This window comes from Homo sapiens, chromosome 15 (genome assembly GCF_000001405.40).
Source record: "Homo sapiens chromosome 15, GRCh38.p14 Primary Assembly".
Lineage (NCBI taxonomy): Eukaryota > Metazoa > Chordata > Mammalia > Primates > Hominidae > Homo > Homo sapiens.
Genome location: NC_000015.10, coordinates 61,585,350 through 61,610,677, shown reverse-complemented (window position 1 = coordinate 61,610,677; position 25,328 = coordinate 61,585,350). Strand labels below are relative to the sequence as shown.

Below are 25,328 nucleotides of genomic sequence, written 5' to 3'. Positions count from 1 at the left end.
TATGTTTTTATGGGAGGTAGTTCTACTGTATGTTATTTCTTTCTCTTTTTGCAGCCTCTTCTGGTTTTCCTCCTTCAGACTAAAATATACTTAGTCCTACTTTTCCTTCACACAAAGCAAACAAAAAACTCTACATGTCTCCTGTCCTCTAACCCTCCAAATGGCTTTGTTAAGAGCCAGACTCTTAACAAAAAAGGCAAAACACATTTCCTTACCAATTTCTAACTCCTCAGTCTATTGCATTTGGCTTCCACTCCTGTTATTCTGTAGAATCTCTGCTCAATGGCTTCTCAATGTTAAAATTTTTGGCCTTGTCTCATTCTTCATCCTGCTTGAACACTGATGGGTGTTTCTTCAGAAAGCAAACCTCTTAGAGAGCGGATTCTTCTGAGTCAGCCTGGCACTTAGGGTCCATGCTCTGGCCCCACCCTGCCTTTCCAGCCACTCCTACTAACATTCTTTTATTCCCAGCTTTTCACCCAATGTACTGGACTTTAAGTGGACCCAGTACTTGCCTACTTCTGCTCCCTTCTACAACTGAACCTTCAATTTGGAATTTACTGCTTCCTACTTTATCTCCGTCTGTCAAAATCTTATCCATCCTTCAGTGCCCAAGTCAAACATCACCTGTTCCAGATAGCTGTTTATGATTTTCCTGGTTAGATTTCCTTGATCTTCTACTCTCCCTTCAGTAGCATTGTGTTCATATCTCTGTTGTGAGCCTTTGTACATTCTGCCTTTAGCTATTTTTCTTTCTCTCCAAGTTAATAACTCTGAGTACTCAAGGCTAACAGAGGTGTCATTGATGAGGATAGCCCCTAGAATATAGCAGATGCTCAATAAAATCTTGATGCATAAATTGTCAATGGTCAGAAAAGGAGAAATAAGCACTGGCAGACACAGCCAGGTCAGTCTCATAGAGGAGATGCCCTGAAGCATTATGTAGTCTTTTGGTGTTACAGAAATTTTGGTTGACCTCATTTCACCCTGGTTACAAGTAACTCATAAAATCTACCATATGTTGAGTGTTTGTGCTTACTGTGCTGCAGGCATTGGACAAGTGCTTTTGATGCATCATTCCACTCATTCTCATAACCTTTTCAGGGGAGTACTGTGATTATCCCTCTCATTTAGATTAAAGCGTCATTTATAAAATGAGCCTGCGAGTGCTCATGTAATTTATTAGAGGTCACGCAGCTGAAACTGCACTGAGCTGGGACATGCACTCAAAGTTGAAAGGTTGAAACCAAACCAAAGTTGAAACGAAGGGTTGGTTGGGGCTAAAGCCTAATCTCTTAATAACCACATTGTACTGTTTCCACACTAAGCAATTTTTCAGATTTAAGAAGTTTCATAAAATCTACATTGAGTATCAATCACTGGAATCTGAAACTTGAGCTTAGATTCCAGTCCGTGACTATTCTTGATTTGTGGTTTTATGTTCCTCTATGGGCTATGGAGATACCTGTCATTCTTGCCATACCCTTGGCTTTCTCTCTATTACCTTAAGAAAGAAAGCTGATGTTTTCATAAAGTCATATAGAATTTCATATTCTTCTTAAAAAGCTGTTGATCTCACCTTCAAAATTCATCCATGTTCTCCTTGGTCATGGGGAAGTCATATGTTGTGTTATTGACCTGGCCTAGGAAATAGCTTTGTTCCTTTCCTTGGAGGGGATAAATCCACATGTGATAGATTATATGCCTTCAGAAATAATTACCTTACAGAGCACTATAATCTCCAATGTATAAGTTCATTGATAGGAGAAAAAATTCCGCCTTCTCAAGGTTATTTTATTTCTTACTGTATTGTGGGGTGAACGCTATTGCCCATTTCTCAATGGTGGGTTGGACTTGACTAGATTATAGAACAGAAAGTTTCTGAACAAACAGTGATAGTAGCTGACTTAATATTGCCTGCCATTTAGTAATTACTTAGTAGTTTCTAAGTGTAAAATGGCAAGAGTTACCATAAGTTGCACAATGTATTTAATATCTTGAGACATTATATCCATGGCCAGGCATTAAACCCAACTTTCTTCAAACCGATATGGAAAGAGAAAGGGGTGAAGTATAATAAAAATGTCTTTCTGTCTTGCCTTTAAAGACTTAACACATTAAGGGTTTTCCATAAGTCCACAATACTCAAACATGGTAAAATCTCTTTTAGGATTCATTATATCATCTCAGTCTTCATTTATTGGCAAGTTTTACTTAAAAGTATGTGTGCCCTTGATATTTCCTAATCAAGAAATAAATTTTGGTGATTTTAATCTAGCAATCTAATTTCCTATTGTTACCAGCAGTAACACCTCTTATCACATAAATATTGAGTGAATTCAGGGGAAAATTAGTGAAACATTCTAAAATCCTTGGAAGTTGCTCAAAACAGAGATGTATGTATTATCACTTGTAGAACTAAAACTATCTAGATACCATTTTGACACTAGTGACCAGAAGTTTCTAGGAGAAGCTCTTTGAGGTATATACATTCCTTCCTCCCTCCTTTACTTAAACAATTATCAGGTATCTTTTAAGAAACTACGTAATTTCAGGATTGGGCTAGATTACTTAGATTGGCTGGAAAGGCAGGTGAGACCAGCTGTGAACTTCAATAAATTTACAACTTTGTCCTGGACATAAGGTATAAACACAGCTAATGTGTGTTACGAATCTAACCAAGCCATGATTGACAAATATGGTCTAAACAAAGAGTAAGTAAACTAAAACCCATGGTCCAAATCCGGCCTGCTCTTGTTTGTATGAATATAGTCTTATTGGAACACAGCCACCTCATTTGTTTACTTATTGTCTATGGTTGCTTTTGCACTACACCACAGAGTTGAGTAGTTGCAGCAAAAACCACACGGCTTACAAAGCCTAAAATATTTACTATTGTGCCCTTTACAAAAAAGGCATGCTGACCTCTGGTCTAGACTTCACTGATGAAGGCAGCCTAAAGTTAAAGGTAAAAATGACAATTGCTGGTGACTTCCACATGGCTTTACATTAGGGTGTCAAGGAGACTGGATTTCCATCTTACTGCTATCACTTACTAGATGCAAGCCTTCGAGCAAATTTGACTTAGTTTATTTTAGCTTTGAAACACATGGCAATTAAAAAAAAAAACATGTAAGTATGTGTTTTGAGAGAACTCAATGAGAGTATTTGCTACACCAAAATAGGAATCAACATTTGTGACTATAACCATCAACAAACTATATGTCGTGGACAGGTCATATGAGCAGGGGATGAGGCTGAGGGCAGAAGTTACAATTGTTTAGAAAGCTATAGTAGATATTTGGGGATTTTAGTGTAAAAACAGCTTATGAGTGAACTAGTTAACTGGTAATCTTTTTCTCTTTCTCCTTCCTTCCTTCCTTCCTTCCTTCCTTCCTTCCTTCCTTCCTTCCTTCCTTCCTTCCTTCCTTCCTTCCTCCCTTTCATGGAGTCTGGCTCTGTCACCCAGGCTGGAGTACAGTGGTGCAATCTCAGCTCAATGAAACCTTGGCCTCCTGGGTTCGAGCGATTCTCCCTGCCTCAGCCTCTGGAGTAGCTGAGATTACAGGCGCCTGCCACCATGCCTGGCTAATTTTTGTATTTTTAGTAAAGACAGGGTTTTGCCAAGTTGGTCAGGCTGCTCTCGAACTCCTAAACTCAGGTGATCCGCCCACCTCAGCCTCCCAAAGTGTTGGGATTACAGGCGTGAGCCACTGGGCCTGGCAGAGAATCTTTTTCATGCAGAAAAATATTTCACACATATTCTAACAATTAAATATCAGTAGTTAAAAAAATCAGTAGGTAAGACAAATTCAGGAGGGAAAAGTTATTGTTCTGATAAAAACTAAATTATACCCACTATCCCTTTGAAGAAGGAAATTCCCTCTAATTTCATATTCCCCTCCTCCTTTGATTTGAAGATTCTGTTAAAAACGTTTCTAACAGCTATAGTGTATGACCCTAGAAACACATCATTTATCTAGGGAATAACATTCATTTTAATATCATTTCACCCAGGAAGCAAGTCTTAAACCCATATTTTCTGATCCACTTAGTTGATAATATTCTTCCAAAAAAATTTCTGGCTGGCAAAAGAAAGATAATTTAATTTAAAGAGATTAGATATATTGCTTGAAATGCAAGTCCCCCAGAATTTGACAGCAGAACAAGACCAGCGAACAGAAAACTCATCTTGCTGCCTTGCTAATACTGGCATCAGGGAATTTATAAGTTGGGCCGTCAGTATTTGCTCCATGGAGTAATGTCAATGTCATTGATTCTTAAAAGCTGACATTCATTAAAAGTACCCAATGTGGATATGTAGAAGGATTTTTGACAAATCAGCCAAGTGTCACCATTCTGTAAAGGATTATAGAATGATGCTTTGCGGCTTTGAGCTCTTTCTTTAAACTGAATGGATCTTGTCTTCATATAGCATGTGAAAGATTGGGTTTCATTGCCATTCCAAATGGGCTGATTTTGCTTTTTTCTTTTCCCATCAAAAGTTGGGGGAACTTGGGAAACAGGGGAGGGATAACTTTTACTATTTATTTACTATGAGCCAGGTGTGTAAGTTCATTCCATCTATCCATTTATCAAAATATTACATACATGTGTATCTACCTGTGCATGTAGATACACATGTATGTAATATTTTGAGTGTGATTGTTATATGAGTTAGGTGTTATAATTTATCCCCATTTTACAGATAAAGAAACTGAGGCTGAAAGAGGTCCAGTCATTTGCCCAAGTAGTAGAACATCAGTGAAGAGGAAGTCTATAAACACTTGGTAGAAGATTTGTCAGTGACAGAACAGTGTCATACACTATTAAATTGGTCAAGCTGCTCTTCCCACTTCCACCTTGGAAGGAGAATGAGAAATCCATTCATGCCTGTTGGCTCTTCCAACTTCATCCTCTCCTCAAAAGCCTTGGGCGGAAATACCATAGCAGTATTTATTATTTTGAAAGCAAGCACACGCCTGCCCCTGCCCCCAGTTGTGTTGTTAGATTGGAAACAGTGCCGCCTGTGGCTCTCTGTACCCTCCCCTCTCATTACAGCTCATCCTTGGAACACAATCATTTTCTGTGTTATCCAAAGGTGTCATTACAGGGTGCCTGCTATATAGTTAGTGCAGTGTCAGCATATTCGGTGTGGAACTCCCCCCACTCCTACCCCCGATCCTCCTAACCTGGAGGACATAACTAGGCCGTAAGAATTCCTTTGGGGCTACTCTACTGGGTAGAGACATAGTTATGTCTGGGGGAACTGTTTCTAGTGACTTATTGTCTATAGCTTTAGGTCAAATTTGAATAAATTCTCCCTTCAATTCCAGAGAAACAATAAACCCACAATTTGTGATGGAAAAGTCAAGTGGATTTGTGTAAAGGCTTTGAGGAGGTCAAGAAGAAGACAGGCCATAAAATGAAAAACTAGAATTAAAACTGTTTTATTTAAATTGGAATTTTTAAAATATCAGCCTGATACTAAAGATTAAATAAAATCAGCCTAAGTACCTTAGCTACAAACAGTCATCAAGTGCCAACTGCATGCTGGGAGCTCCTGGGAGATGCAGATGCTGAGAATCCTCGAAGGGCTCCAAAGTCCTCTGGAAAGGTCGATTTACCAAGGGTGTTGGACACAAGTGCAGAACCCATTGGCACGCCCCCTGTGCAATACACAGCCTCAGGAAAGTTGTAGATTAAAGAAATACTCAGGACAGGGGTGGGATTCCTTGGAGAGAACTTCCTAGAGGGCAGCATTTCTCTGGGGGAATGCTGAAGGTTGAGATAACTGTGAAGGACAGTGAAGGTATCTTCAGGTTCTCTGAGCTCCTTGGCTACAAGAACTTTGTGTTAGTCACCTGGGGTACCTTCTATACCTCAAAAATAGATTGTCTTAATACATGTTTGTGAACTTCATGTGGATTGAATTGAGCCAAGCCCCAAGGATGGCATCTAGTAAATTATCAGCAGAATTCTGCAAGGAAGGAAAGGGGTTGTGGTAGGGGTAGGGAGAGATGGAAGATATGGAGTTTGTGTGTGTGTGTGTAGGGTAGGGTATATTAAAGGCAGTGGTTCATAAGGTGACATGAGGCTCATTAAGTAGATGGAACCACTTGAGGGAAGTGCCATAAAGAGCCCCAGGGAACTCACATGCTAGTTGGGGGCTCAGGATGAGCAGGGTCCCATGAGGGTTCCTAACTCTGTGGATTGGAGTCCTTCAGACGAGGTTGTGCTCCTTGTGAATCAAGGCAGGTGGCGGTGGGGTGTCTGTGAAGAAGAAAGGGCTTGGGGCAGTTGACTAAGAAAATTGCTATATGACCAAGGAAATATCATCTTAAAAGAGGGATCATTTTTCCAGCTGCTATGTGTGTTCAACGAGGCAGATGCTAACCGAAATAGCAAGAGTTACTAATAATAGCTAATATTGACTGAGCATGTATAGGTCAGGTGCTGTGCCCAGCACTTTACATGGATTAACTAAATGATCATGCTAAAAATATTTGTGAGGTGCCTACTGTGTGTATCAGGCATCATTTAAAATACTGGATATTCACCAGTGAACAAAAACCATAAAACTTCTACCCTTACAGAGCTCTTAAAGTTATACTTCATAATAGACCAATAAGACAGGCAATATTGGGAGCAACAATAGGTAATAGGTACAATAGAATAATAAGATAGGTAATAAAGGGAGCAACTGAGATGCAGTACAGAGCGATTAAGTAATTTGTCCCAGATTACATGAGTAATCATCAGTACATTGCTTTGTGAATATAGTCAACACCAAGTCCCTGTTATATAAATGAGACTGGGGTCAGTCCTAAGAATTATCGAAATGGCTTAAGTATACTGCATGCTCTGAATGAGCTTCCAGTTGAGTGGCGATGATGAGCATGCAGACAGTAATGGTAGGTTAATGTGGCATATACAAGGTGTGAAGGGAGTCAAGAGCAACTAGCTTTTCCAGTGGGGTAGGGAAAACTTCCTTGAAGGGCTACAAGACGAGTAGGAACTTACTGGGTAGAAAAGTAAGTTGGAAGTCAAGAGGACATTTTAGACAGGGAAAGGTAGCTTGCTCAAAATGCATACAGGAGGAGAGGTAGGGAGGATGCTAGCCTTTGCCGATTATGTTATCTTGTACTGGCACTTCACATATTTTTAAATTAAATATTACATGCATAGAAAGAATATTATTTCCATTATATATGCAACAATTAATATGACTGTATACCTAACTGCATAGCTTAATGAATAAAACATTGCTATTAAAAATTAGTCTTTCAAGTAAGTTAGGAGAGATTGAGTCATTTGTCCAAAGTCATCGAGTTAGGGAATGGTAGAGCCAGGCTTGTTGCTTGGCCTGTTTGGTCTTAAAACTGTTGTATTGGAGTCGGCACAATTTCTTCTTTCAGGTGGGTGGAATACTTAGACAGTGGTGGGAGTTGCTGCATAGAAGTTTTCAGGGTACTAGTGAAAAGGAAAGAAGGAGAGGAGTCTATTCCCACTGGTATCCTCTGATTGGACAGAAAGACACCAAACGTGAGAGAAAACAGTTTCTTCAATTATTGATAAATCTCCAGAGAAGAAGACATAACAGGGTGCTGGACCTGGGGAAAAAAAGTACCTGTGGGCCAGATGCATTTCTGCTTTCACCAGGATGGTCAGAGTGGGCCTCTGGAAAAGAGACTTTGATCTAATTCCTGGATGATAATAAGGCACTCGTGATGCAAAGTCCTGCGGGAACGTGCTTCAGGCAGAGCAAACAGCCAATGCAAAGGCCCCGAGGGGGGTTTATTTTATTTTCTTCTAAGGTGGGTGTAGTTGAGACTTTCAGAAGACCAAATACTTTGACCATAAGACTTTGGCCCCAGGCACGTTCACCTTTCTACATGTGCTTAAATTACGTGTGCGGCAAAAATACGAGTATTGCCCAAATGAAACACTGCATTAGTGTTAAAATTAGTACTCAGTGAAAGCCAAATATCACATCATTGAATAAACTTCTAGGAGTTAAGAATAAGTCTGATACATTATTTTAAAATAAATCATTGTGACAATTTTATTATTAAAATTTTAGTAGTGGTTGTCATTATAGTGCAGGAACTTTCGGCACTACATAGAAACTCACTTTAAACTGACGTATTTAATAATATTACTAGACTTATGTTCACAACAGCACATAATTCAGGAAAAAGGTTTTTAGTAGCATTTTCTGGGAGGAACTTTGTTTTAAGGACACAGATTAATCAATCTCAAAAACTTTTCATCTTTAAATATTGAAAATTTAATATACTTAGTAGTATATGGTATAGCCTCATTTTAACAAGCTTTTTTGTTGAGAAGTTTAGCTTTCTTGAGGGTTGGGGAAGAGGGAGACTGTAAGTGTTGTCTTCCTAAAATTGTCTCGTCCAGTCAGTCGTTTCGAAGTTTGGTAAGAATAAAATGTGTTTGAATTCCTCATTTGTGTCTAATAATTTCCTCTTTTCTTTATATTATTTTTATTTTTCATTTTGCCTGGATCAAAGATAATTTACTATGAATGTTATTGTACATGAGTGTGCAGTTTTTCCTCCTCATGAAATTTTGATATGGAGAATTTGGCATTCTGCTTTTAATTTATCCTCACAAGATATGAAGAATTCCCTTATAAATAAGACTTTTTCTTAGAAGAATTTTGGCCTAAATTGAATTAAATAATGACAATTTTAATACACTCCTTAAAGGTTTTATTTTATATGTAATGGATGCTAATACACCAGACAATTCTACAAGGACTAGAATTATGATACAATTGAATAATATTCTGCCTTGTATTGTTATTTAAATTTCTATATTTAAATAATTCTTTGGCTCAAAAAGGATGTAAGTTAACTTGCTATTTTTATTTGAAAATAGCAAGAAAATCTAATGACACACCTCATTTATATCACTGACAATATTATAGTGTAACAATTAGAAGTAATGGTTATTGGTCGTATGATCATTGGTCATGAACAATACCAGGGAAGCCAGAAATGACTTTAAAGTGAGCATTTGGTGATTCAGTCCTTTGAAGGCTGAAGCTGAAGCTGAAGCTGAAATCAGAATTACGGCCAATTCTCCAGGCACGTTGGCTCAAGCCTGTAATCCCAGCACTTCAGGAGGCTGAGGTGAGTGGATTACCTGAAGTCAGGAGTTCGAGAGCAGCCTGGCCAACATGGTGAAACCTCATCTCTACTAAAAAGACAAAAATTAGCTGGGTGTGGTGGTGTGCGCCTGTAGTCCCAACTGCTTGGGAGGCTGAGGCACGAGAATCGCTTGAACCCAGGAGACGGAGGTTGCAGTGAGCCAAGATCATGCCACTGTACTCCAGCCTGGGCGACAGTGAGACCCTGTCTCAAAAACAAAAAAAAAATTATAGCCAATTTCAAGATGGAAGACTGGCCTCCAATGAACTCCTTTCCTCATTTAGTGTAGGTTCTCATCTTTTTTCTCTTGCTTGGTAAAACATTTTATTGAACTATAACATATAATGAAAAGTACTCAAATCATAAGTATTCAGTTTGATTAATTTTCACAAGATAAATGTTCCCAAGTAACTTGCACCCAGATCAACAACAACAAAAAAACAATAGTAGCATCTCTGAAGCACCTTTCATGCCCCTACCGGGAACCACCATCATCAGGGGACACAATTACCCTGACCCCTAACACCAGAGACGCACTGCCTATTTTGAACTTATGTAAATGGAATCATCCGTATGTACTCTTTTCATGTCTGCCTTTAGCTGAACATCATGATTGTGAGATCCATCTCATATGGAGTTGTAGATCATTGATTATTATTGCTGTATAGTATTCCCTTGTGTAAACGTGTTAAGATTTATTTATCCATTTTGCTGTTGATGGACACTGAGAAATTTCTTAGGCCCTTAATTTTTATCAAAGACTTATTTTAAAAAGAAAGAAAAGGCACACAAATGCTGCTTCTGTACTTCTTATAAAACTTATCATTGAAGACCTTGTCCGTTACACTATTTAATGGCCTCTAAGTCATCCTGCTATGATTTTTAGAATTTAGTGCCAGAGAAAAGCTTCAACTCTCTTGAGGAATTAATATGCTTCCTCTTTTCTTTTAATACATGTGCTTATTATATCCCACCTTGTCCCAGAAAGAACTAGCCAGCTTAATTAAATAAAGAAAACCTTGCAAAATTAAAAATTCAACATGGATAAAAACAGTGAGGCAAAGTGAGAACTCCTGTAGCCTCATCCAGTGACTTTAGCACTGAAGCTTATTCAAGCATTGGTACAAGGAAGGTCTGTACTCTTTCTTACTTGGGACCCAGATTCCCAAGAGTCCCTGTAAGTTTCACATCAGCTGATTCTAAAAGGAAAATTAGATCAATTCTACCAAACTGTGTCCAAACTATCAGGGCAAGCTAGCTCCTCCTAAGAAGGGCATCTCCCTATTCCTGGTATCAGAGACACATTTCTCTCAAGCATTCTCCAGCAGAGGACCACTTGAATACCTGTAGGTAGATATGGTGATGAGTTTAATTGACTAGTTTTTTTGACCACCCCTCATCCCAGGATGATGGCATCACCTCAGGGAACAATTCAGTAAAACCATTTAAACACTTCAGAGAAGGGGCGGGGAGACCTTGAGAAAGAAGTTATCCAACACCATCTTGAGATATACTTTCCATTGACCTGACTTGGTCCAGTGGTAGGGTTTGTGCATCTGGATAAAGAGAAACTAAAAATCTTTTGGATTACTCCCCACAAATACTGCTTCCTTCCATAAACTTGATAGACACAGAGTAATAAAAAGCTTAAGATCATACTCCTTATCGAATATCAAGGGTATAGCTAGTGTATGTTGCCAGTTAAAGATGATGCCACTTGCTGTAACAGCCAACTCCAAAGGAGGTGGAATTAATATCCTTTTAAGAGAACTGACTATCCCAAACAGAAGATTGTCCACCTGTTCTTTGGCTGGGCCAAGATATTCCATAAAAAATAATTGAGTCTATTCTCTCTAATGCTTATACAAATGGCTCACCAGAGTTACAGAGTTTTGCTCTGCACAGCATGTCCTGAATGGCTGTAACCTGAACATTTTAAGGCCGGGGTAGCCAAATGCCCAAACTGGCCATTTAACACCAAACTCTTCTTTGATGCCTGGTTGGACAGTTACATAATGTCATATTTCCTTTCCCGCTCCAGCTGGCAAGAAAGTAAGACAAATTTTAAAGCTTAATCACAGCAGCAATGCTTATCTTTACATTTAAAGTAACAAGTACAAAGTACAAAATTCAGATGATGGATACACCAAAAGCCCAGATTTCACCACTACACAAAATATCCATGTAACAAAATTGTACTCCTACCCCTTAAATTTATACCAGTACAAAATTAAAATATTTACTGCTTCTACTTTGCTTGACTTGGGCTTCCTCCTCTCTGTTCCTATTTTATATACTAATTGTAGATAAACCTTATTTTGGGGAAGGTCTCAAAGCTTTTCAGGAAAAAAGACATGGTCTAAACAAATTTCAAGAGAACAAAGTATAATGTGTGAGGAAAGTGATCAAAAATTGGCAAATGTCTAATACTTGTCTCCAGTTCTTCTGCCCTGGGAATAAAGACCTGTCTGTACAAAGGCTTCCTGACAGCCGAAGGAACAAAATGCTCTCCTGAAAGAAAAAAGCGAGAGTTGCACCGTCTTCCCCCCACCCCTTCTCTGCAACGAAACAATGCCTCCCAAAGGAGCTGGCAGCTGGCCCTTGGCAGGTGGTAGAAACAGCATTGCAGCTTGCACGAAAGGAGAAAACCCAAACTTTCAGCTTTGGGGAGCAGTGCGATTATTCTGCCTGCTACCTCTTAAAAGAGAACGGACCGCCACGTCATCCAGCCAAACTGAGCCACTGAATGCCACAGACTTCTTCTCCCCTTCAGCAGTTCCCATTTTTGTTCCTGTTGCCTCAAGGCTGATGGCGGCAGGGGCGAGGGGAGGCTGACAGTACTGATACACAGCTCCTGACCTTGTCCCCTTGGCTTCTTGTTCATTCTAAGTGTGTTTACTCACCTTTTGTCGATGTGCCTGCAGTGACTGCTGATGTGCCAGGAGGGCACAGGCAGAACAACCAGGAAAGGGAGGAAAATGGAAGGTCAAGGTCTAAAAAAAAAAAAAAAAAAAAAAAAAACTGGTGATGGGCATCCTCCACATAGAGGGCCTGGGGAGGAACTGGGTTAAACTAGACTTGGATTGATTATGGGGTTGCTGTTTTTTTGATGTTTATTTTTGACTCTTTGGTAGGAAATGAATAAATAGAACAGTTTTGATGGAACAAGACCGTATTTTACCCTTTTCTCCTGTTCTCTCATCTACCCAGCTACCTCCCTACCTGAAGATGGCAAAATCAGTGATGACATGAAGGTCACAACTGTATATTTATACAGGTCATTACTATAGTAACATATTCCTATAGTTCTTTCATTATTATAATGCATGTATTGATTACCTCCTATACGGAAACGTGAAACAAGCATGGTATTTGCAGCCAGAAAGACCTAGATCTGCCATCTACTAGCTTGGAAACTTTGAACAATTTCCTTGACCTCCCTGAGCCTCAATAAATGCAGGTGAAGAATAGAGATGATAATGTGTACCTCATAGGGCTTCTGTAATAATTAAATGGAGCTAACCTATGCAGGTTACCTGGTAGAATACATAATCGACTTTCAGTAAGTGAATACTATTATCATCAGGATAATGGCCATGAGAGATGCATTCATTTTAGAAAGAATGGCATCTTTCATTGGAAAGTTTGTGGCCTGGTGACACTAAATATATGATAATATTCTTCAGATTTCAAAATGTTTAATTGTCTTTTCTGGAACCATAATGGTGATCAGGGTCACTGAAGTTGTGACTGAATCATTGGATTAAAAAGCCCAAGATTTCAAGAGGCTGTTCACCCTTGTCAACTGCAGGGACAGATAAGCACCAGGAATCCTTAGGAGAGAAGAAAGATGGTTGCTTTCTAGGTCTGCTATTGTGGTATAGTAGAAAAGTAAGAGAGAGGGCTAAACAGCTCCCGTCTTAGCACTTTGCTAAGCTCTGTGACAAATCACAGAAAATAATAAAACTGTTACTGTTTATTCACCTATTCAGTGCCAGGCACACAAGCACATATACAATCTCATTTAATCTTAGAACAATTCCATATGGTAGGAATTTCTATCACTACACAAATAACCCCATCTGCAGTGGATAAAAATATCCTCACAGAGCTCCGGGAAAGGTCAAATGAGATGCTAGATACCAAGGTATTATTATTGATATCACGTAAATTATTCCATGATTTACATGGAATGCTCACTGGTCACTTGGAAATTGTCTGCACTTTCCTTTTTATGGAACCGTTACTGTTACTTAGTCTTATCGCTTGAATAACTTGGACACTGTTTCTCGCAATTGCCAACATAGTCTGAACCCATTTCAATTCCATAAGGACTTAACACCCACTATGTTGAAGGCATTGAAATGGGGTTGCAGCAGGAGTTCCCTGTCATGGGATTTATGTTCTTTGGTGGGTACTAGAGAAGATAGCACAGAATACTGAGTATGAATATGGGGCAAGAGAAACATAAGCAGTTCTAATGGATTTTGGAGGAAACAATATGCATCTCTAGTCTGGGGTATCTGGGAGGGAGGAGAGGGATCGGGCATCACGGAAGTCTTCCTAAGGAGGTGGTATTTGGGGATGGACCTTGAAAAATGAGCATGAGGTTTTAAATGAATTTTTTTTACCCAATTATTAAATCAATACACACACATTATTGAAAACACATAAAAACAAAAAAGTAAAAAGAAATTCACCACATGCCAATCAAGGATATTACTGTTACACTTTGGGGTACATTCTTACAGTAGTTTTCTCTGTACTGAAGTATATTACATAAGTACATATATATTCATAAGTATAATTAGGTAAATATATAACACACAATTTTTTTATCCTTTTTCTTGAAATTTTAAGTATTTTCTGTTTGTAAAGACTTTTCATAAATATGATTTTAATAATTACATCATAATGTCCCAAAGAATGAATATGCCAAAAATATACCTAACAAATGCCCATGTTTTAAAATACTCTGATATACCATTTATAGCTATTGTAAATGATCCAGTGATATGTTTAGCAGAAACAATAAGGCTAAATGCCAATTATCTGGTCTGGGACATTGACAAGTAGGTTGAAAGCATCAAAAAATTGTTGATGACTAGCATTTCCTTTCTTCAATTCTTTCTGCCTATTAAACTTCATAAATCGTTTCACTCTCATTTTCGTCATCTTCCAGTGAATTTCAGTTGCTCACGACGTAAAATCCCAATTCCTTTCCCATCCTATAGGCTCTCCAAACCCAACCCAACTATAAATAAGTTGTTTCCCACCACTGCCTTCCTCTGCAAAGATGCGGCCCATCCTTCCACTGTCTTACTGTCTTTCCCTATTTTGAGCTCCTTGACCTTATTAAGACCCTCTGTCCCTTGATCTTTCCCTTTTCTCTGAATCTGTCAGTTTCCTCTCAGCCTCACTTCCTTCCCTCTCTGGTTTAAGCCTCGTCAGAGTGGATTTTCTGTGATGCTATAGCTTAAGTGTCAAGGGTCCTCACTTTCACAGGCACCTTAGAAGGTGCTGTGCCTGATTTTGCATTTGTAATTTCATATTTTTTTTTCTTAAACAGGAGACTCAAATTGTATAAACTTCAGGCCCCACAAAACCTGAATCCTATGGTGGGCACTGCATCACTGAGGCTTCCCCATCTCTGAGTAATTTTATTTTATTTGCTACAAAGTTTTTCATGTTCTACATTCTAGAATTTAACATATGGAGTTATAATTGTTTGTTTGATCATAAGTTCCTTGAGGGTAGGAACTATGTCTTATTTACATTTATGCCCATAATTAATGCACATTTGTGGAATCCTTTGCTAACTTTTGCTATCTTGCATCAAGCTTCTCCTTTCCAATATTACTACTACTACTACTACTACTACTACTACTACTACTACTACTACTACTACTACTACTAACTGTAAAGGTTTTAGAAAGCATACTGTGTCAGATTATATTTTCCAAAAATGGCTACAGTATTATTTCCAGTGCTACATGTTCTTCTATATCCTTGACACTCCCCTTTCAGAGATGAAGTCAATTTCCTCTCCTGGTGAATCTGCATAGGCTCTAACCAATGCAGTATGGGGAAGTGATATTATGTGCCTTCTAAGGCTAGGTCATAAAATAGGATGCAGCTACTCTGAATGTTTCCCTTTGGAGTCCAGCCATCAATTGTGAGGAAGTATAGAGCCATGTAGAGAGGACACATGGAGGTGGTCCAGCTGACAGCTCCAGCTAGGGTCCAGCCAGCATCAGCCACCAGACACGGGAGTGAGGGAGCCTTCTCATGATTCCAGCCCCTAGGCCTTAAGCTGCCCCAGTTGATGTCAAGTGGAAGAGAGACAGCTGTCCCTACTAAGCCCTGCCCAAATTGCAGCTAGAGAGCAAAATCAATGTTGTTTTAAGCGACTAAATTCTGAGGTCATTTGTTTCACAGCAATGAATAACCAGGCTGTGTGCTGAAGGCATGACATGTATTATCTTCCTAAGGAAACTGAGACCCAGAAAACGCAAATAACTTGTCCAAGCTCACCCCCTCTCCACCTAGTCAATTTTGCCTCCATTCAGGCCATATCTCCTCTACCATGTCTTTCGGCTTGTTTCAATGCACAGAAATCCCCCTTCTTTAACTCTAATAGCCAGTAGTCAATGTTCTTGACACCTATATCTCTTCCCAACAGCCCTGTGATGTAGATGTATCACTTTTCTTGTTATACAAATGAAGAAACAGACAAACAAAGAGATTGGAAACTTGTTTAAGGAAACAGTAAGTGGCAGACATCTGTCTTCACATCTCATTATTTAAATTTAAACTATTCCTTCCCTTCATTGGCTTCCTAAAGTCCTTATTAGGATCACTTATTTAGACTTATTTAATGCAACGTATGTCTTTTTTGATGATCTGTTTTGCACACTGGATTGTACACTCTTGGGCAATGTCATACATTTCTTTGAGATCCTTCTTAGCACTCTGCACAATGCTGGGCACAAAATGGGCACTCACCAATTGAGTAAATGTAAAAAGTTACATTCAGCATCCACACAAAGTAGTTTTACAGTTACATGAAGAAAAAACAAAAAACATAGAAACACAGAAGTAAACCTTGCAACTAAATTAGTAAGGGCTTTAGGCAAGTCTTAGTGATTTTCTTTTTTTGTACCTAAAAATATATTTTCTTCTCCTTTAAAAAATGTTTAAGTCTATCACAAGCGTAAATATTTGGTTGTATCTTTTTTAGAGTAGTTTATTTTTTTGGAAAAAATCTGGCTTTCTCGTCAGCCTAGTGTTTTTATAGCGTTAGAATCTTTTTTTTGTTTTGCTTTGCTTTTTTTTTTTTTTTTTTTTAGCAGATGAGATATTCAAATAAAGGCCTCTTATTGATCTCACTTGTTGCTGCAGGCTCCAGCTTCAAATTGAAACTTGATCAATATGGCTTTGAGGCAGTCTGGAACATTAAATAAGACCTTGTTAGACTGAAACTTTTTATTTTGCTTTACTTAATTTGGAGGGGCGGGAACAGTAAAGGTGGGGGAGAGATGGGTGCACACCTCAGTCTGTTGCTGGAAGTGAGTCTTGATTTAATTTCCTATAGTATCCTCTGTGCAGTAATCCTAGCTGAGTGGTGATAAGTTGGGTGGCACCATTATAACTATTGCATATACTCACAGTCTTGTTTTCCCACGTCTAGGTTATATGGTTTTATTGTTTGTTTGTTTGTTTTTCTCTGAGACAGAGTCTTGCTCTGTCACCCAGGCTGGAGTACAGTGGCGCGATCTCGGCTCACTGCAACCTCTGCCTCCCGGGTTCAAGCGATTCTCTTGCCTCAACCTCCTGAATAGCTGGGATTACCGGTGCATGCCACCATGCCTCGCTAATTTTTGTATTTTTAGGAGAGACGGGGGCTTCACCATGTTGATCAGGCTGGTCTTGAACTCCTGACCTCGTGATCTGCCCGCCTCGGCCTCCCAAAGTGCTGGGATTACAGGTGTGAGCCACCACACCCAGCAGGTTATATTTTTTAAACACCCTCTTCAAAGCTGTTGAGAAATGTAGAAGAAAGGAATGACATTTTAAGGGCCCCATCCAAGAACTAACAAGATGGGTCTTTATTTAATTCACCATCAATGCCCATTTACTGAGCACCTACTATGAGCCAGGCAAGGGGATACCAAAATGGAAAACACAGTGTCACTAATCTCAAAGAGCTTATAGCTTTGACTACCATTTCAAGGCAATATTCTCTGTGAAAGATATGAGGCTGAAAAGAGCTGTCAAAATGTAATCCCATCTGACATGACTGTTCTCATAGCAACGTTACCTTATCGTTCTGTTGAATATGGGTCTTATAGCATTTTGAATTAATAACTAGTTTCTCAATATAAACTGCTTAATGTGGGAGATCCTTACTGTCCGCATGTCCTATAAGCTTAATGCTAATTTTGAGGCATAATGTTGGCAACTGGTGTTTAAAAAAAGGGGTAGGGGATAAAAATATCATTATAGAGATGGGAGAGCAAAGACTCCTCATTGTATAGAGGAGGAAATGGAGACCCTGGCAATGAATCATTTAACTCTACTAGGGTCCATAGATCATGTAAACACATTCACTTATCCAACATTTATAAATGAGGGTGATTTCCTTGGCAGGCACAGTGGCATTGGGAATACATTGATAAATAAAATACAGCTGCTGCCTTCAAGGAACTTAAATTAGAAATTACATCAATGTATAAAGAAGAAAATAACAATAGCTTATTATTCTACTGTCTTCTGAGTTCAAGCCTATTTTAACTTTATTAATTATAGAACTATAGAGTAAACTTTTGGCTCTGTCAAGCTGTAAGCTTTAACTTCAACTTTGAGAATAGCACTGCTCCTCTTTCCTATTGGTCTGCTTTTGCCAAGTATGTTTTCTATTGCCCTTTAATTGTACCTTTTTTATGAACAGCAGAATTTGTGAGTTTATCCTAATTTGCAGTTATTCATCTTCTAGCAGAAGTTTATTCCATCCACATTTATTTTCTCTAGCTATGCTTGTCTTCTGTCACCTTGTTTTAACTTTCTGCTTTTTATGCTTTATGTCATTTGACAGATGGACTTTGGGTTTTTTTCTCCTTTTTTAATTTAAGTGGTTGTGATGATGTAAAGTCTGTTTTCTTTCGATTAGTACTTACCTTTACATTGTTCCAGAATGTATTTGAACTAATTTCTGTCTCTAATTAAAAATGTCAAGAATGAAATGTAAAAATACATCGTATTTTATACAAACTTAAGCGGATGAAAATTAATCTCTGATTTTTCTTTGAAAACACTTACATTTAGTTTACCCCAGTGGTTCTCCACTAGGGGCCATTTTGCCCTCCACCCCACAGGGGACATTTGGCAATGTCTTGAGACGTTTTTGGTCGCCACAACTGAGGAGAGGAAGTGCTGCTGCATCGCGTGGGTAGAGGGCAGGGATACTGCTAAACACCCTGCAATACTCAGGATAGCTCCCTACAATAAGGAATTGTCTGGCACAATGTTCCAGTAGTGCCACGGTTGAGAAACCCTGGTTTACACTTTTGCCTGGTTACATGTGCTAGGTAAATTGACCACCACAGATATTTTTTCCCCTATTTTCAAAATTGAAAACAGAAAGAAAAGGAATTGCATGTATATGTTATCACTCTTCTTGTTCTCTCTTACATATCTTAATTAAATCAGTGAGCCCCTCTGATGAAATATCTATTATTTATCGACTTTTGCCCCTACCCCTCTCAGGCATGCTGTAGTGGAGTCGAGACATTATACAAGGTTGGCACATATAAGGGCACTATTCCCATCACACATTGAGGCTAATTCAAATGAAAGCACAGATGGCATCAGGAGATTCCCAGTCTCTCCCCTGAGTCCCAGCACTTCCCTGCTTCCCCGCATCTCTAATTCAGATGGACTCTGAACCTCACCTGGGGGTCAACCCTAACTTCTGAGGGATGTGTGCATGCACACGCCCGGGTTGTTGCTCAGAGGATGTTGGGGCTCTGAGAATCTCCCTAGGCAGAGCTGTTCAGGCTGTGCAATAATACACTGACTTATTTTTCATGGAAGGACAGAGTAAATATAATACGGAAGTTTACAGGTGGGTTATTATTTTCATTTGACATATTTTTTCAATAACTGTTATTAGTAATCATTATTTAATTAACTGTGTTTTAGTACAGCAATTCTCAACCATAGCTACACATTAGAATCACCTGGGGAACTGCTTAAAAATACTTTTGGGGGCCTACTCTAACCAATTAAATCAGTATATCTGGGAGTAGTAACAGGGCCATGGTACTCTTACAAGCTTCCAGTGTGCAGCCACATTTGAGAACCCATTGGTTTAGTGGTTGCATCACTCACCACCGAATCTTTTGCATCAAAGTTCACCTATTTTTTTAATAAATTATTTTTAAAATCCTGGTAAAATACATATAACATAAAGTTCACCATCTTAACCTTTTTCAAATGTACACTTCAGAGGCATTAGGTACATTCACATTATCGTGCAACCAGCACCACCATCCCTATCGCATTCATCTTGTAAAACTGGAACCTCTCTACCCATGAAACGCTAGCTCCCCATTTCCCCTGCCCCAGCCCCAGCCCCTGGCGGCCACCATTCAACTTTTTGTTACTATGAATTTGACTACTCTAGGTACCTCATATAAGTGGTATATATAAAATACGCCACTGAAATTTTCTTTAGCCTTAAATAGGAAGGAAATTCTGTTACATGCTACAATGTGTATGAACCTTGATGACAGTGTGCTAAGTGAAATATGCCAGTAACAAAAGTACAAAGCGTCTCCACTCTTAACTTCTCATTTTTCATTTTCCCTTGTTAATTCTCTTCTTATTCTGATAGTACCTGAAGTTAGTATCATTGCTTGTCTTTGCACATGAGTGAGAATTTGGTGATTGTGCTCAGGTTACTGTTTATTACTATTTATGGTCAGCACTGTCTAGACATCGCTCCTTTATCTTTGTGTGTTTGTGTATTAACCTGATTTTCTTTTCCTTCCTGTATTCTTCTGTGATATTTTCTTTGTCCTTAAAATTCAGCAATGTACAGGGCTGGGTCTGAAAGTTGATCTGTTTTAACTGGGTCTATCTAAACACCAGTGAGTTCTTTTTACATTGAGGCACAAATTTTCCTTCATCTCAGGAACATTTTCTTCTATTTTTTTTTTAGTTTTGCTCCTCTCCTGTTTGCTTGGAATTCTTCTGAAATGGTTATTCTACGTATATTGTAGAGGTTCCCAAGCTTGTTTACACGTTAGATTCACCTGGGGAATCTTTTAAACCTTCATAAGCCAGGGTCACACCCAGTCTAATTAAATCAGACGAGCACAGGCTTTGGGAGTGTTTAAGGCTCCTCAGCTGATTCCAATATGCAGGAAAATTTGGAAACCACAGATGTATTACCTGCCCTGGATCTGTTGTTCATTTCGTCTTCTCTTCATCGTTTTCAGGTGTGCTCCACTGGGCACCACAACATACGGTTCAGACGTTTAAAGCCTGTCTCAGCCCAATTTCCTCTCCATTTGCTCCCTGGGTAAGGTAAGCGTATAGCTATCTCTTTGTATTTCTTCAGCAGTCCAAGTCCTAATTTACGACAGTTTATTGTTTGGATTTGTTTCTCATTTCTATTAATACGTTCTTCAGTTTTTCCATTTCTTACCATGGAGCCATTACTTAGACTCTGGATTTCCTTTTGTCTTATGAAACAGTAGTTCTTAAACTTGGTTACACATTGGAATCACCTGAATTTCACTCGCAGCAATTCAGATTTAATTATTATTCTGGGGTCCAGAATGCATAAAAGATACTTAATGCTTCCCAGGCCATGTTAATATGCAGCCAAGATTAAGAACCACGGCCTTAATCTATTGTGTGCATGTGTGTGTGTGTGTGTGTGTGTGTGTGTGTGTGTGTGAGATGATGATTCCAGTGGTCTTCCAACTTTAGTGTACATCAGAATCACCTGGAGAGCTTCTTCAAACAAAATGTGGGTTCCCCCCTCTTCGGAGTTTCTGACTTAGAGGGTCTGAGGTAAGGCTCTGTAATTTGCATTTCTAACAGCTTCACAGGTGCTGCTGTTGCTAATCTGGAGACCCTACTTTAGGAACCACTCGACTAGGATATAGTTGGGCCAGAATCAGAGTCCCTTTAATAATGCACTTCGCTTCTTATATGGCTTAGCTCTGTGTCCCCACCCATATCTTATCTTGAGTTGTAATTCCCACGTGTCGGGGAGGGGCCTGGTGGGCAGTGATTGAGCCCTGGGGGCAGAGTTCCCCCTTGCTGTTCTCCTGATGGTGAGTTCGTTCTCATGAGATCTGGTTGTTTGAAAGTGTGTGGCACTTCCCCCCTTGCTCACTCTCTCCTGCTCCACCGTGGTAAGACGTGCTTCCTTCCCCTTCCGCCATGATTGTAAGTTTCCTGAGGCCTTCCAGCCATGATTCCTGTGAAGCCTGCAGAACTGTGAGTCAATCACACTTCTTTTCTTTATAAGTTAAAACTCTTTTCTTTTTATTTCTTCTGAAAAAATGGGATGCATGTGCAGAACGTGCAGGTTTGTTACATAGGTACATGTGTGCCATGGTGGTTTGCTGCACCTATTGACCTGTCCTCTAAGTTCCCTCCCCTCACCCCCAACCCCCAACAGGCCCTGGTGTGTGTCGTGCCCCTCTCTGTGTCCATGTGTTCTCAATTAAACCTCTTTTCTTTATAAAGTCTCAGGTAGTTCTTCACAGCAGTGTGAAAATGGGCTAATATACCTTCCCACCCATGATATATTGGATTCATTAAAATGTGGCACTTATTACATATTTTATATGCGTTAATATAATTAGAGGTATTGATACTAAACGTCGGAAGAACTCAGATCACTCTGGGTCTTCTGGAGTGCTGTTTGGCAAGTACTTCATAAGGCAAGGTATGAAAAAAAAAAATAGAGTATCAAGTGTCAAATGGAATGTGTCGGCCCCCATCACTGTTTCCATATACCTTGAGGTTTCTAACATCTTAAACCTTCTGCAAGTCAGCAGGGTCTTTGTCTTTTGGGATGCCGGGGTTTCCTTCTGTGATAACACCATTTACTGCCTTGATTGCAGTTTCTAATTTAGCAATGATATTTCCACTTTAATGCAGTTTTTCCTTCTCTCTTTATGACTACCTGTTCTAGTTTTATAAACACAATTACCTGTTGAAATACATTGAGAACATAGTTAGAAAGTTGCTGGATTTTTTTCTTTAAGTAATTTTCATAGGAAGGTACTGGCTCTGATTTCTCAGTGTTTCTCATTTTGTAAGCTGCAGAAATGTCTGTTTCTGCTGATTTTTCTCCCCCTGCTTGCCTTTTCCAAAGGAGTTTTATGCTTTTCTAGCATTGGAGTCCAACATGAGTCTTCTCAGATTCTGTGCATGTTCTATTTCAAATATTCTAGCCAAAAGAAGTTTATTTTTCTCTTTTTTTTTCCTTTGCCAATGTGGATTTGCAGTAGCCTGGGGGTGTAGGGAGGATGCCAAATTCAGAGTCTGTATCAGGGCGTTGTGCCTCTAGGCTGAAAAATTAATGATTATTTATGGCAAACATGTATGACCTAGCTACTACTCCGTCTCTTTGCCTAGTGAGGCCCACAGCATGAAAGATGGATCAGGGTCACACAGCTGTGATTTACCTCCTTGGGATAGCCACTGGGTGTTTTTATGCTTGCAAGGGCAATGGTGGGAGTCACATTCCTACCTGTCCTTCGGCCTGCCCTCACCTCCAGCCCTCATCCTTCCCTAGTGGATGTCTTCATCTTATTTCCTAGGTGAGCTGTTCCTTCCCAGATGGAGAAGTTTAGGAATAGATCAGTGGTCTCCAAACATTTTAAATAAAGACCAAGATAGTAAGTATTTTAAGTCTTTCAGAAGATATCTCTGTCAAAACTACTCACGTCTGATGTTTTAGAGAGAAAGAATCTATAAACAAACAAATGGGCATGGTTATACTGCAATGAAATTTACTTAAAATTTACCCGAGAAACAGCCTTCCTTACGTGCCACCCACCCGAGTGCTATCAACCAAAAAGTCTGCAGAGTTTTTGATGTCCTCTTTTCTCAGTGTGTAATTTTATACAGGATTTTCCTCATTTTCATATTATATTTGTCATTTCAAAGATGATAATGGAAGTGAGTCAGACACATGTCCTCAAATTGGCACCTTTTCAGGAATCCCGTGTGTGTGTGTGTGTGTGTGTGTGTGTGTGTGTGTGTGTGTGTGTATGTGTTCAATGTTCAGTATCACATTTTAAAAGATGTTTAATGTTAATATCACACAAATATCCAGACTCAAAAAATAAAGCATAATATCTGAAACCTACTTTTTAATTTTCTTTCAAAAAATTCTCTTCTATTCTTATTTAATAACACAGAACTACTCTTCTCCAGGCATAACTAGCTTTATGTGATGCCTGAATTTCACGGGTTGACTCCATTTTTTTTTTTCACTGCTGCAAAAAAGATTTTTATGATTAGAGAAAAATAAGTTTCTTCTCAGATTCTTCAATTTAGAAAATACCAGCGCTTGAGTCCTATTCAAGGAATAATGAATACTCAAAAATCTCCTTCTCAAGGTCATATTTTTACTTTTCATTTTACTTTTTTTTTGGTTTTTAAGTTTGTACAATTTTTATTGTTTAAAAGAATTTTCTTTAATTACACTTTAAGTTCTGGGGTACACGTGCAGAACATGCAGGTTCATTACATAAGTATACATGTGCCATGGTGGTTTGCTGCACCCATCAACCTGTCATCTACATTAGGTATTTCTTCTAATGCTGTCCCTCCCCTAGCCCCCCACCTCCAACAGACTGGTGTGTGATGTTCCCCTCTCTGTGTCCATGCGTTCTCATTGTTTACCTCCCATGTATGATTGAGAACATATGATATTTGGTTTTCTGTTCCTGTGTTAGTTTGCTGAGAATGATGGTTTCCAGCTTCATCCCTGTCCCTGCAAAGGACATGAACTCATCCTTTTTTATGGCTGCATAGTATTCCATGGTGTATAAGTGCCACATTTTATTTATCCAGTCTACCATTGATGGGCATTTGGGTTGGCTCCAAGTCTTTGCTATTGTAAATAGTGCTACAGTAAACATATGTGTGCTAGTGTCTTTATAGTAAAATGATTTATAATCCTTTGAGTATATACCCAGTAATGGGATTGCTGGGTCAAATGGTATTTCTGGCTCTAGATCCTTGAGGAATCGCCACACTGTGTTCCACAATGGTTGAACTAATTTACACTCCCACGAACAGTGTAAAAGCATTCCTATTTCTCCACATCCTCTCCAGCATCTATTGTTTCCTGAGCTTTTAATGATTGCCATTTTAACTGGCGTGAGATGGTATCTCATTGTGGTTTTGATTTGCATTTGTCTAATGACCAGTGATGATGAGCATTTTTTCATGTGTCTGTTGGCTGCATAAATGTCTTCTTTTGAGAAGTGTCTGTTCATGTCCTTCGCCCACTTTTTGATAGGATTGTTTTTTTCTTGTAAATTTAAGTTTTTTGTAGATTCTGGATATTAGCCCTTTGTCAGATGGATAGATTGCAAAATTTTTCTCCCATTCTGTATGTTGCCTATTCACTCTGATGATAGTTTCTTTTGCTGTGCAGAAGCTCCTTAGTTTAATTAGATCTGATTTGTCTATTTTGGCTTTTGTTGCCATTGCTTTTGATGTTTTAGTCATGAAGTCTTTGCCCATGCCTATGTCCTGAATGGTATTGCCTAGGTTTTCTTCTAGGGGTTTTATGGTTTTAGGTCTAACATTTAAGTCTTTAATCCATCTTGAGTTAATTTTTGTATAAGGTGTAAGGAAGGGATCCAGTTTCAGCTTTCTGCATATGGCTAGCCAGTTTTCCCAACACCATTTATTAAGTAAGGAATCCTTCCCCCATTTCTTGTTTTTGTCAGGCTTTGTCAAAGATCAGATGGTTGTAGATTTGTGGTGTTATTTCTGAGGCCTCTGTTCTGTTCCATTGGTCTATGTATCTGTTTTGGTACCAGTACCACGCTGTTTTTGTTACTATGACTTATGTCTATGGCCATACCACCGTGAACATGCCAGATCTCA

At 39.0% G+C, this 25,328-nt stretch overlaps 2 long non-coding RNA genes across 3 annotated transcripts in view; one reads left to right on the top strand and one right to left on the bottom strand.

Annotated features, from left to right (window-relative positions):
- The window catches only part of LOC107984782 (uncharacterized), a 208,325-nt gene that overhangs the window by 104,509 nt on the left and 78,488 nt on the right, over positions 1 to 25,328 (top strand). For both annotated transcript variants that reach the window (XR_001751569.2, XR_001751570.2), the window contains exon 3: positions 20,675 to 20,762. This is a non-coding gene — a long non-coding RNA (uncharacterized LOC107984782). The remainder of the gene's footprint in view (positions 1 to 20,674; positions 20,763 to 25,328) is intronic.
- LOC101928850 (uncharacterized) lies at positions 5,437 to 12,164 on the bottom strand. The gene is made up of 2 exons (NR_187928.1): positions 12,077 to 12,164; positions 5,437 to 6,273 (listed from the first exon to the last, which is right to left on the bottom strand). It is a non-coding gene; the product is annotated as an uncharacterized LOC101928850 (long non-coding RNA).